Source organism: Homo sapiens, chromosome 10 (genome assembly GCF_000001405.40).
Source record: "Homo sapiens chromosome 10, GRCh38.p14 Primary Assembly".
Classification (NCBI taxonomy): Eukaryota; Metazoa; Chordata; class Mammalia; order Primates; family Hominidae; genus Homo; species Homo sapiens.
This window is the reverse complement of record NC_000010.11, coordinates 2196785-2208859: the sequence shown is the minus strand read 5'-3', so window position 1 is coordinate 2208859 and position 12075 is coordinate 2196785. Positions and strand designations below refer to the sequence as shown.

Genomic DNA, 12075 nt, shown 5'->3' with positions numbered 1-12075 from the left:
TGTAACAACTCCTCAGCATCTACGAATACACCCTCTGATAAAATACAAGCATGTATCACTTACACCCAAATTTAATAGTTTATTTTGATTCAAACAAGGGAGGATTTTCTATAACTAGAGGGCTTTGTGCAATATTCTGGAATGAGGTACATCTCTGGTTTTCCAAACATCTTTATCGACCCTGGATGTTAGGGGAGGCCCAGGCTGCTGCGGGCTATCAGAACGTTGTTCTGATCATTACATAGCCCCTCCAGACCATGTGCCCAGAGATTCACAGTCCCCTGATCCGGGATGGGGGTCGAGGTCTCCATTTGAAGGAAATCTGGACGTGACTCTTAGGATGTGAATGGGGCTAAAGCTCTGGTGACCTTTTCTGACAACAGCTGCATCCAAGGGTCTGGGAGATGACCAGGCACACACACATGGTCAAATGTCTTTGTGAACTCTGCAAACGTAGGATGTTTCTGTTCTTACTAAAGACCTTCCTTTGGCCATGACTTTCCCACCATCACACTTCCTTTTGTAATGGGCGTGGCTGTTTGGGAGAATTCGTTATGGGAAACTGACTTGGTAATACATTTCTTTTGAGTGAGACGTCGGTCTGTGACTTATCTGGGGTCACTTCTGAGTTCAGTTTGGTGAAGCCGCTTCCTGCTGTCTATAGGGATAGTTTCTGCCTATAGGGATAGCTCTGGCCTGTTCCTCTCTAGGTTGATTCACAGCACCAGGACCCTGGCAGCACCCACGTATTACCGGTGGCAGAGACCTGAGTTACCAGCTCAAATCCCAATGGGTTCGTAGCAACTTCAGCCCTTGTCTCCTCAGAAAAAAGAATTTGACTAATTTGACTGAGGGGCATAAAGCAGGAAAAGAGACGGAGGCAAGTTCTATGGCAGGAATGGAAGTCTACTTAAAGAGGGCTTATAACAGGAAAGAACGAAAGGTGCCCTGGCACATGAAGGTTAAAGAGAGGTCAAGTGTCCGGTTTAACCGTGATCTTAAGATTTTGATAGACTCACCCCTTTTCCATGATTCTTCCCTCAGGGTGCACTGTCCGCATGCGCAGAGCCCTCCTTGCCCTGGGAAATGCGCATGCGCAGTGTGCTTAGGGACGGACAACACAGGTCCCGCTGAGGTTTCCTTCCCGTTTCCGGTGCTGTGTACCCTCAAGATCCTACATCGCCATTTTCGTCTCTTAGTGCGCATCCACAGAAAGTTTCTTCTCCCTGAGGCCCGCATTCAATGAACATTTTGATGTTAATAGGTGTGGACCATCAGGAAAGGGCGCCTCCCCGGCACTGCTGGATTATCACCCTCAGAGAGGCAATGCAATTATTGCTGAACCATCACCCGATGTTTCTCGTGGGTGGGGGAGAGCCGTCTCCTGCCCCTCTCAGCCAGTCCAACCACCTGTCACACACGTGCGGAGCTCAGTGGCTTTCCGTGCTGGGGCACAGGCAAGACAACACGTAGAGGATGCAGAGGAAACGGGGTTAGAAATGTGCAGAGCCAGGACAGGTCCGTGGAAAACACACTCAAACCTCATGGGTCTACACCGGACATTTGGTGGAGGGGTTTTTTCTTGTTTCTTTTTTTATTTTTTTTCAAAATTGATAGTAGTCCTGGATTATTTGCAGGACATGACCAATATCACATCTATGTTATATGGAAAACAATTTATTTGTACCTATTACTAACAAACTTTAATAAGTGTGTTAGAAAAGTGGACGTGAACTTTCTACTACTTGTGTAGTAAGTGACGTTACAAATCAAAAAGAGATGAAAAAGTATGAGCCAAAAAATATAGGAAAGATGTGTTAGTGAGATATTTCAGACAATTGATACAAATACTATAATATTTTCTGGATTTTATAATTTTATGATATTCAGTATGATTTCATTTCTAACACTAAGTAGCTACCTTCCTAATTTATATTCACAATTTTGTTCTTTTTTCTTAAAGAAAATCTTCTCTAATTTATAATGTTCAGTCACTATAAAAACTAAATTCACCCCTGAAGAAAATCCAGATGATTTTAAAGCACGTTGTGCATGACTATTTGAAAAACATGCTACAGAAGAGGGGTCAGCAAACTATGGCTTGCAGAACAAAGCTAGCCCACTGCCTACATTTATGAAAAAAAGTTTGATTGGAATACAGCTGTGCCCATTCATTTTCATATGGTCTATGACCGCTACAGAGTTGAACCAGTGTAGACCTTACGGTCTCAAAGCCTAAGCTATTTACTCTTTTGCCCTTCACAGAAAAAAAAAAAAAAAAAAAAACCAACAACACTGCTACTTGGTCTGGGTCAATATCTACATATGGTCCTTCAGATCTGTAAGGTCACAGTTTGAGAGTCTGCTGTTAATGTTTTAAAATAACACATGTTTTATATTAACTGTGCCTCATTATATGATAATAAATATCTAGAAAAACGGGAAAAAATACAGAAGCTCATTATTAGGGCAAATAAGTCAATCTTCATACTAAAATAAAATGTTGCTGTTTTTTCTCCGTACACTTATTTCCTGAGATTCTTGCAAGCTTTAATGTAGTTAATTTGTCTCATGCCTACTTATTGTATAAAAATTAGTTCTTCTGATTTCTAATTCATACAGACTTACTTTCTCATTCGATAAAAATATTTTTATAGATTGAAATTCACTTTGTATTTTTAAAATTAAAAGCATTGAGTTAATCGTAAATATTTATCTAACAAATCTATTTCTTAGATGTATCTATCATGATAAAATCTCAGAGACGTCGCCCAAGGATCTGCTTCTCTTTACACAGGACTGTTTTCCTTTCTGTGATATCAACATGTAATAAAACATATACATGTTGAATTTTAAATACTTAATTTTAATAATTTAAATGTTTCTAACTTTTACATTTCCCACCCAAATTCCTTAAGAGTTTGTTTAGGTAAAGTATTTCTAAATGAAAGAGTATACCTTTAAACGGAGGAGGCACTTTGCAAACATATGACACATTTGGCATAGTCTGAGAACACACATACCGTTGCCCTAAAAGTAATTTTTCTTTGTTTTTGCCCTTGAAAAGGGAGGGAAAAAAATACATCCAAAATGTGTTTCTAATTGCTGTATGGCTTAACTTTTTTTTCCGCATCAAATTTTTTTTGCATAAAGGGTCTTTCCTCTCTGACAGAGACAGCTTTTATACTTGATTGATGTTACAGTGAAGTTGTCATTAGAACTGAAAAATTAGCCCTGCCATGAAAGGTAAAGAAGCACAGATGACAGGGCAAAATATTTTTCTGCATCACTTTGAGGTCTGGTGAAATGAAAAGCAGTATTTTCACAGAAGCCATCCTCTCCCAGTCATAGAACAAAGGATACCTTTGCTGATGGATAAGCCAAGCTTCACTCTGGATTTCACTCCCAGGACTGTGTGAGGACGATGGCTTCACAAAGCTCTGATCACAACCATCTCTGTGTGGCATGAAGCTCTTAGCATGAAAACATCTCTAATATCATCAGGGAATTCACAGAAGGGAGGTGTAGCCTCAAAAGGAAAACAGTCCTGTGTAAAGAGAAGCAGATCCTTGGGCGAGGTCTCTGTTCTGAGCTGCAATCACAAGTTTTTCTCCTCAAGTTGGGGCCACACACCTCCAACTCTTATCTCAGTGAATCCACAACAAAATAATTTCCTTACTTCAGGCGTGAGATAAAAATAAATCACATTCTAGGATAGTGTGGAAATTCAATGAAGATCAAAGATATGTACTTTCTCCAACAATACTTTACATTCTCACAATTTCTTTGGGATTTTATTTTTTTTTTTTGAGATCTGATTCCAAGAATACTATTTGGCATTTACATTAAGAATGCACATTTAATAAATAATGTGATAATGAATATAAGGGTGGGTCTGTATACACATGCGATTAAAAATAATTTTGCTAGGTCTCAACGAAGGAGGAAAAAGGAAGATACAAGGTTAAGAATTCACTAAGAAACAGGGTGTTTGGAGATTTCTGAAAAGTTTTACTTGAAGTGGTATTAAGAATATTTCATGTAAAAGTAGGTTATGTCTTTCAGCCCTTTTGTTACAGGATCTCGTGCAAGAAAGAATTCAGGGCGAGTCCATAAAGTGAAAACAAGTTTATTAAGAAGATAAAGGAATAAAAGAATGGCTACTCCATGGAGCAGCCCCAAGGGCTGCTGGTTGCCCATTTTTATGGTTATTTCTTGATGATATGCTAAACAAGGGGTGGATTATTCCTGCCTCTCCTCTTTAGACCATATAGGGTAACTTCCTGATGTTACCATAGCATTTGTAAATTATCATGGGGCTAATGAGACTGTAACAGTGAGGACAACCAGACGTCACTCTTGTTGCCATCTTGGTTTGGGTGGATTAGAGCTGGCTTCTTTACTGCAACCGGTTTTCTCAGCAAAGGTCTTTATGATCTGTATCCTGTGCTGACCTCCTGTCTTATCCTGTGACTTAGAATGCCTTAACCATCTGGGAATGCAGCCCAGCAGGTCTCAGCCTTATTTTACCCAGTCCCTATTCAAGATGGAATTGCTCTGGTTCACATGCCTCTGACAGTTTTATGGCAGAAAACCATATCTATGAATCAACCTAGGAAATCTCACTCAAAATGCTATTGCTAAAAGAAAGAATATAACAAGACCATTACGTGAAGCAGAAGGATTTCCAGCTCTGTGTGGTCGTGCAAGTAAGTAAAGTGTGTTCCTTGCACCTCATGTGGGTCTGATCATTGGTCAGCTCTGAGCTATTACTGTTCTCTTCCTTCACACCCAGTTTGAAGTATATTTTCCTTGACTCTTCAAAGTAGATGGCATGTCACTTTTTAAATGTTCTTTCCCCAGATGAATTCCCATGATGTAGTCATCATCTCATCCTACCACATCTTCCCTTCTTTCCTATAACTGAGATAAAAGAAAACAAAATGAAAAATTCATAGGAAAACCAAAGTGTCCTGTGTTTATCCTTTGAAAATATTGATGATGATTAGGTGGAAATAAATTAGAGCACAGCATATATGAAGTGTCAATAAGTCAATTACAGGTGTTGGGGGAAGATCTTAAAAAACTGCATGTTGAAATGTAAATGGAGTTGGTTTTTTTTTTTTTTGATAAATGGCACATAAATGTTTGACAATGGTCATATAAATAATGAGAAAACATTGAGAGAATAGCTTCAGATAGTGTTACAAAATTATAAAATCCATGACCCATAAAGAAATTTACAAGAAAAAACTGCCACATTAATGGTGGTTGAAATATTATCTTTTTTTCCATACATTCATAGATGTAATTTTTTCTACTTTTTATTGACCCCAAATGCTCCATTTTTCTTATCTTAAAGAGCAGCCAGCCGGGCGCGGTGGCTCATGCCCGTAATCCCAGCACTTTGGGAGGCCAAGGTAGGTGGATCACCTGAGGTCAGGAGTTCAAGACCAGCCTGGCTAACATGGTGAAACCTCATCTCTACTAAAAATATTAAAAAATTAGCTGAGCATGGTAGCACAAGACTGAAATCCCAGCTACTTGGGACGCTGAGGCAGGAGAATCACTTGAACCCAGGAGGCGGAGGTTGCAGTGAGCCGAAATCGTGCCATTGCATTCCAGCCTCAGCAAAAAGAGGGAAACTATGTCTCAAAAAAAAAAAGAAAGAAAGAAAGAAAGAAAAAAAAATCAAGTAGTCTTGGACCCTGAAGCAAGTAAAATATTGATTAGCCATTGCCAAAGTTTCAGTGTTACTAACTCGTTGTATATTTGCACTTAAAGCCCTATTGTGCTCAAAGGAGCACTGTATTTTATACCATTTGATAGAATTCAGAACATGTTTGTTTGCTTCTGCAAAAATATAATAGGGAAAGTTGACCAGAGACAAAATCTAATGTTATTTTTTTCAGTGTACATTAGCTATTGTTGATTACTTTACTCATCATTAGTTAAGTGCCAAATCTGCCTGCGTTTATGCTACAAGAAGAGATATAAATCCTTTTATAACAGGGATGACACTGAAAATTAGGCTAATGGCAACAAAAGCTGACATTTATTGAGTGCTTGTTATGTGTCAGACACAATTCCAAGTGCTTTTTCCTGTTCGAATCCATTTAAAAGTACATACCAACAACTTCATGAGGTACAGACTGTAAAGCAAAAATAAAATTGTTAGTCCGCCGATGGACTGAACGGCCCCGCCTTCTTGGCCGAAGGAATTGCAAAGAGACCTGAAAACTAGTTCAGGCCATGACAGGAAGGGAGAGGCAGACATGCCTCATTACACCCTGCTCCCTCTGGAATTCAGGCACAACTGACCAGCATTCACGTTAAAACAGAGATCTGGAGACTGACAAAGCAGGCTCTTTGTAGCAGTAAGACACCAAATCCCAAACTGACTCTGGTATAGCACCACATGACACATCGCAGACCCTAAAGCAAATCCAAGTATTTTACCACAAAAAATATTTATTTGGCAATTTTGGAATGGCCTGCAAAGCCATCTCTTATGGGGGAAATTTGCAGTCTGTAAAAAGCGCAAGTAAAAGTACAAGTGTAAAAAGGATGCTGGTCCCTCCCTAGGTCTTTTCCAGAGAGCCGACACCTTCTAAGGTCCAATAAGAGACATTTTTAAAAAAATTTTATTATTATTACACTTTAAGTTTTAGGGTACATGTGCACAATGTGCAGGTTTGTTACATATGTATACATGTGCCATGTTGGTGTGCTGCACCCATTAACTCCTCATTTAGCATTAGGTATATCTCCTAATGCTGTCCCTCCCCCCCTCCCCCCACCCCACAACAGTCCCTGGTGTGTGATGTTCCCCTTCCTGTGTCCATGTGTTCTCATTGTTCAATTCCCACCTATGAGTGAGAACATGCGGTGTTTGTTTACCTTCTATTCTCTCTGAAGCCTGTTACCTGGAGGCTTCATCTACATGACAAGAGCCTGGGCTTCCACCACCCCCACCCCCTTGTCTTAACTCAAGCATTTCTTTATGCTGACTTTAACTCTCTAAGCAGGGCTTCACTCTTTCAACCAACTGCCCATCAGAAAATCTTTGAATCTACCTAGAACCTGGAAGATCCCTGCTTTGAGATGTCCTGCCTTTCCAGGCTGAGCCAATGTGTAACTTGCGTGTATTGATCTATGTCTTTGCCTGTAACGCCTGTCCGCTAAAATGTGTAAAACCAATCTATAACCCAACCACCCAGGGCACATATTCTTCGGACCTCCTGAAGCTGTGTCCCGGGCCATGTTTCTCTAATCTGACTCAGAATAAACCTCTTCAAATATTTTACAGAGTTTGGCTTTTTTTTGTGAACAGGGCTATTTTTATTCCAATTTATAAGTAAGGAATTCAAAGCAGGTATTATATATCAGATGTTGCCTTACAAAAATGTCAGTACCATGTGAATCTTCATCTTCCTAGACCAGCCTGGGCAACATGGTGAAATCCCATCTCTATTAAAAAATACACAAATCAGCTGCTTGGTGGTGTGCACCTGTAGTCCCAGCTACTTGGGATGCTAAGGTGGGAGAATGACCTGAGCCTGGGAGGTCCCGAGCCTGGGGAGGTCGAGGCTGCAGTGAGCCAAGATTGCACCACTGCACTCCACCTTGGGTCATAGCCAGACCCTGTCTCAAAAATAAAGAGATAGACAGATAGCCAGATAGATAGATAGATAGATAGATAGATAGATAGATAGATAGATAAACAGAATAAAACTCAATGCATTATAACAAACACAGCACCACACAAGTCAGGAAACCCAACGTGCTAGCACTCCACTCTAGAACCTCTTCGAGGGCTCACTCCCCATCTCTTCTCTCCTGACTTATGAAAATTACTGACTTACTTTTCCTTGTAATATTACACTCTCACATTTGTTCCTCAACACTGGAGTTTCATTTTTTTCTATTTATTTTTCTTTTATAAAGGCAGAATTCTAGGTGTTCTTTATTTTTGTGAGAATCACCTATTTTGTTGCATGAGTGGTATTTTATTTGTTGTGATTGCTGTACTCCACTAAATGAACGTACCACAATATATTTGTCTGTAATCACTTTTGAGGTAATTTTTCCAGTTTATGGCTTGAATAAAAAATACTGTCTTAAGCATTCTTATACATGTATCTTCAAGCATATGTGAACATATTTCTGTTGGGAAATAGATTTGAAAATAGTATCTCTGAGTCTTAGAACATGAATTTATTCATGTTTAGTAAATTACGCAAATTTGTTTTCAGGAGTGCTTGTAAATGTTTCACATTGCATATTTTCTGCATTCAAAGCCATTGCCAGTCATATATTTTGTAAAAAAAAAAATTTTAAGATGGAGTTTCACTCTTGTTGCCCAGGCTGGAGTGCAATGGAGTGATCTCAGCTCACTGCAACTTCTGCCTCCTGGATTCAAGCGATTCTTCTGCCTCAGCCTCCTGATAGCTGGGATTGCAGGCTCCTGCCACCACACCCAGCTAATTTTTTGTATTTGTAGTAGAGATGGGTTTCATCCTGTTGGTCAGCCTGGTCTCAAACTCCTGACCCCAGGTGATCCACCTGCCTCAGCCTCCCAAAGTGCTGGGACTACAGGCATGAGCCACCGCCCCTGGCCTGTAAATATATTTTACCCGCTGTGGTGTGCCTTTTTATTCTATCCATTTGTCCTTTGGTAAGTAAAAGTTCTTAATTGTAGCATTGTTAAATTTATCAGCATTTGCACTTACAGTTAATGCTTTTAAGTCCTATTCAAGGTGACTTTTTTAATCAAAAATGAAAATATTTTAGAATCTAAAAGATATATTTATCCTATCTTTCTTACTTACATCTATAATACTTCCTATATTTATACGATGTGAAGTAGGAAGCTATGTCTTAGAGATTTAAGTATATGTGTGTGTGTGTGTGTGTGTGTGTGTGTGTGTGTGTATATACAAAATACATAAAAAATGCAAATATATATATTTTTTACTATGACTATACAATTAACCAAGTTCTGCTTATTGAAAAGGCCATAATTTTTCCATTGACTGCAGTGACAGTTTTGTTTTGAGTCTATGGTTTTTATGAATGGGTATGATTCTGGGTTTTCCATTCAATTTTATTGTAGTATTTCTCTATCATTGTAGAAACACCATATTATCTTTTCTTTTTTTGTCTTAAACCGGGGGGTATGCTTCCTCCATTTTATTTATTTTGTTTTATTTTTCTTTACTGGTATCTTTTATAACTGAACTTATTCATACTCTTTGGAAGCCATTCCTTCAGCTACAAAATATTCACTTCCTTGAAGAAAGGAAAATATTTTTTATTATTTTTCAGAAAAAGACAAAAAGAGCCCTTTATTCATCTGTTCATGATGACTCAAAAACATGGAACGCTTCACAAATTTGCATGTCATCCTTGCGTTGGGGCCATGCTAATCTTCTCTATATCAAAACACCATATTATCTTAATTGCTATAACTATAAAAATCTTGGTATCCAGTAAAACAAATTATTCCACAATTTGCTCCTTCTTTAAAATTTGTCTATTTCTGACCTTTTCATCCTCGTGGAAATTTTAGCATTTTCTTATCAAATTGTACAGGGTAATCTACTGAGATTTGCATTAGAGTTGTAAGTAATCTATTTGGGGAGGATAATATTTTTATATTTTCATTGCTTTGATTTTCATATGAAGGCAATACTGGTCTCATGACAAGATCATTAGTATTCTGTATTTTAATTTTGGAAAGAGTTTTCTAAATTTGGAATTACTTAATATTTTGTAAACCATGTTGAATTACAGTTTGGGGGAATTTCTTCATTGGAATGTTTTTAAATAAAGCTTAAATTGCACTGCAATTTTTAGGCCTTTCAGATTTTCTATTTCTCAGTCAGCTTTGCTGATTTTCCATTTTTTCTGGGTACTTGAACATTTCATTTAAATTCAAAATATTAGCTTAGAGACAATCAAGATTATCTTCCTCTTTTATTGTTTATTCTGTCTACCTTTATCTTCATAGTAAGTATTGAAATAAGAACTTAGAAGTTCTCCAAAATTATTATTTTTTAAGTTTTCTTTTTTTTTTTGGTTTTGGGGTACCTCAATTTTCCATGTGAATTTTAGGATCATTTTATTACTTAATGCAAAAACAAAGGTAGGTTTCAATAGTAATTGTATTCAATCTGTACATCATCTTGGAGCATATTGTCATCTAAACAATATAGAAATTCCAATCAGTGAGCATAGACTAGATTCCATTCAATTGGGTTTTTAATTTATTTCAGTGATGCTTTGCAGCCTTCACTGTACACATATTCACTTCTTTTGTTAAATTTATTTTAAAATGTTTCATTTTGGATGCTATTTTAAATAAAGTTACAATTGATTTTTTATACTGATCTTGTAGGCTACAATCCTGCTGGTTGTATTTATTAACTTTAAAGGTTTTTTTTGTGGATTCATTATGATGTTTTATAAATTAGATTGTCCTTGCAAATAGACATGGATTTACTTCTTTACTGTCAATCTGGATGCTTTACTTGACTACTTGCCCTTGCTAGAAATCAAGTAGAATTTGAGTATAAATTGTAAGACAGGGCATTTCTGTCTTATTGTTGACCCCCAAGGGGCTCTCATGACTAAGAATAACATTAGATATGGGTATTTTGAGATACCCTTTATCAGTTTGAGGGGCTCTATTCCATTCTTGGTTGTTGAGTATTTTCATCATAAATGGGTGTTGGATTTTAACAGATTTTTTTTCTGTGTCTATAGAGATGATTATGTAATTTTGGGCTTTTGTTTTCTTGATAAAATACATTACTTCAATTAATTTTCTAACAGGAAACCAACCTTGCAGTTTTGGGGAAAGTCTCACTTGGTCATTTTCTTAGACTGTTTTCTGATACTATAACAGAATACCATAGACTGGGTAATTTATAGAGAATAGAGATTTATTTGGCTTCTGGAGGCTGTGAAGTCCAACAGCATGGCACCAGCATCTGCCCAGACATCTGGTGAGGGTCTTCTTGTTGCCTAGTTACATGGTGGAAGGTGGAAAGGCAGAAGCAAGACATGGGACAGAAAGAACAATAGGGGGCTGCTTTTATTACAAACCCACTCTCACAATCACTAACCCATGGCTGTAATAATGGCTTTAAGTCATTCATGAGGACTTGGCTTTCATGACCTAATCACCTCTTAAAGACCACAGATATCAACACTGCTGCATTGGGGATTAGGTTTTCAACACATAAACTTTTAAGGAAACTTAAAAGTTGAAACCATAGCTATCATGCTCTATAGTCTTTTAAATATGCTGCCGAATTCTATTTACCAGTGTTTTATTGAGATTATTTTAGTCTCTCTTCATAAGGCTCCTTTCCCTTAAATTTATTTTTATTATTTTCCATAAAAATAATATATATTTTATCTTTTGTACCCCATCAGTGCAGTCTTATAATTATTACTTTATCTAATTTTTTTCAAATCAAACAAGAGAGATAATGTCATTAACAAAAAATATATTTATATTGTCTTTTTTACTTAACTATGCAATTCCTTTCATCAGTGCCCTTTGTTTCTTCATGTAGATTTGAGTTACTGTCTAGGGTCATTTTATTTCTGCCTGAAGAGCTACCTTCACTATTACTTGCAAGACTAATAAAATGACTAATTATTTACGTTTTGTTTTGTTTTTGTTTTTGCTTTTATCTTGCAATGTGTTTTCTCCATTTGTGAAAAGAGTTGTGCTGCACAGATAATTATTGGTTAATGGCCTCTTTCTTTCTTTCTTTCTTTCCTTCTGTGCTTTCAATACATCAACCTACTGACTTCTGGACACCATAGTTTCTGAAGATAAATAAACTGTAATCTCATTGAGGCTTCGTTGTATGCAATGAGTTGATTCTCTCTTGCTGTTTTCAATGTATTTTCTCTGTCTTTGGCTTTTTACAAGTTTTTATGGCATGCCATGGTGTGCATTACTTTACAACTCTGCCTCAGCCCTCACTTCGTGTTTGTGCAGAGCCTTCAGGTTCAGCAGAAGTGAGTGTGTATGTCCTTCTCTGTCCTGCCCTGAAG

The 12075-nt window shown here is 37.5% G+C and overlaps 1 pseudogene, besides 2 other annotated features; it reads right to left on the bottom strand.

Annotated features, from left to right (window-relative positions):
• Positions 35-1234: an enhancer, noted in NCBI's record as "BRD4-independent group 4 enhancer chr10:2249820-2251019 (GRCh37/hg19 assembly coordinates)". NCBI's record gives its function as "activates an origin of replication core promoter dependent on BRD2, P300/CBP, MED14 and CDK7 cofactors, and independent of BRD4, by STARR-seq in HCT116 cells {active_cell/tissue: HCT116}" and the evidence as "EXISTENCE:reporter gene assay evidence [ECO:0000049][PMID:35650434]".
• Positions 6705-7273: an enhancer, noted in NCBI's record as "OCT4-NANOG-H3K27ac hESC enhancer chr10:2243781-2244349 (GRCh37/hg19 assembly coordinates)". NCBI's record gives its function as "activates a minimal SCP1, AML or CMV promoter by ChIP-STARR-seq in naive H9 embryonic stem cells {active_cell/tissue: H9 hESC(naive)}" and the evidence as "EXISTENCE:reporter gene assay evidence [ECO:0000049][PMID:30033119]".
• RNU6-576P (RNA, U6 small nuclear 576, pseudogene) lies at positions 9372-9473 on the bottom strand (annotated as a pseudogene).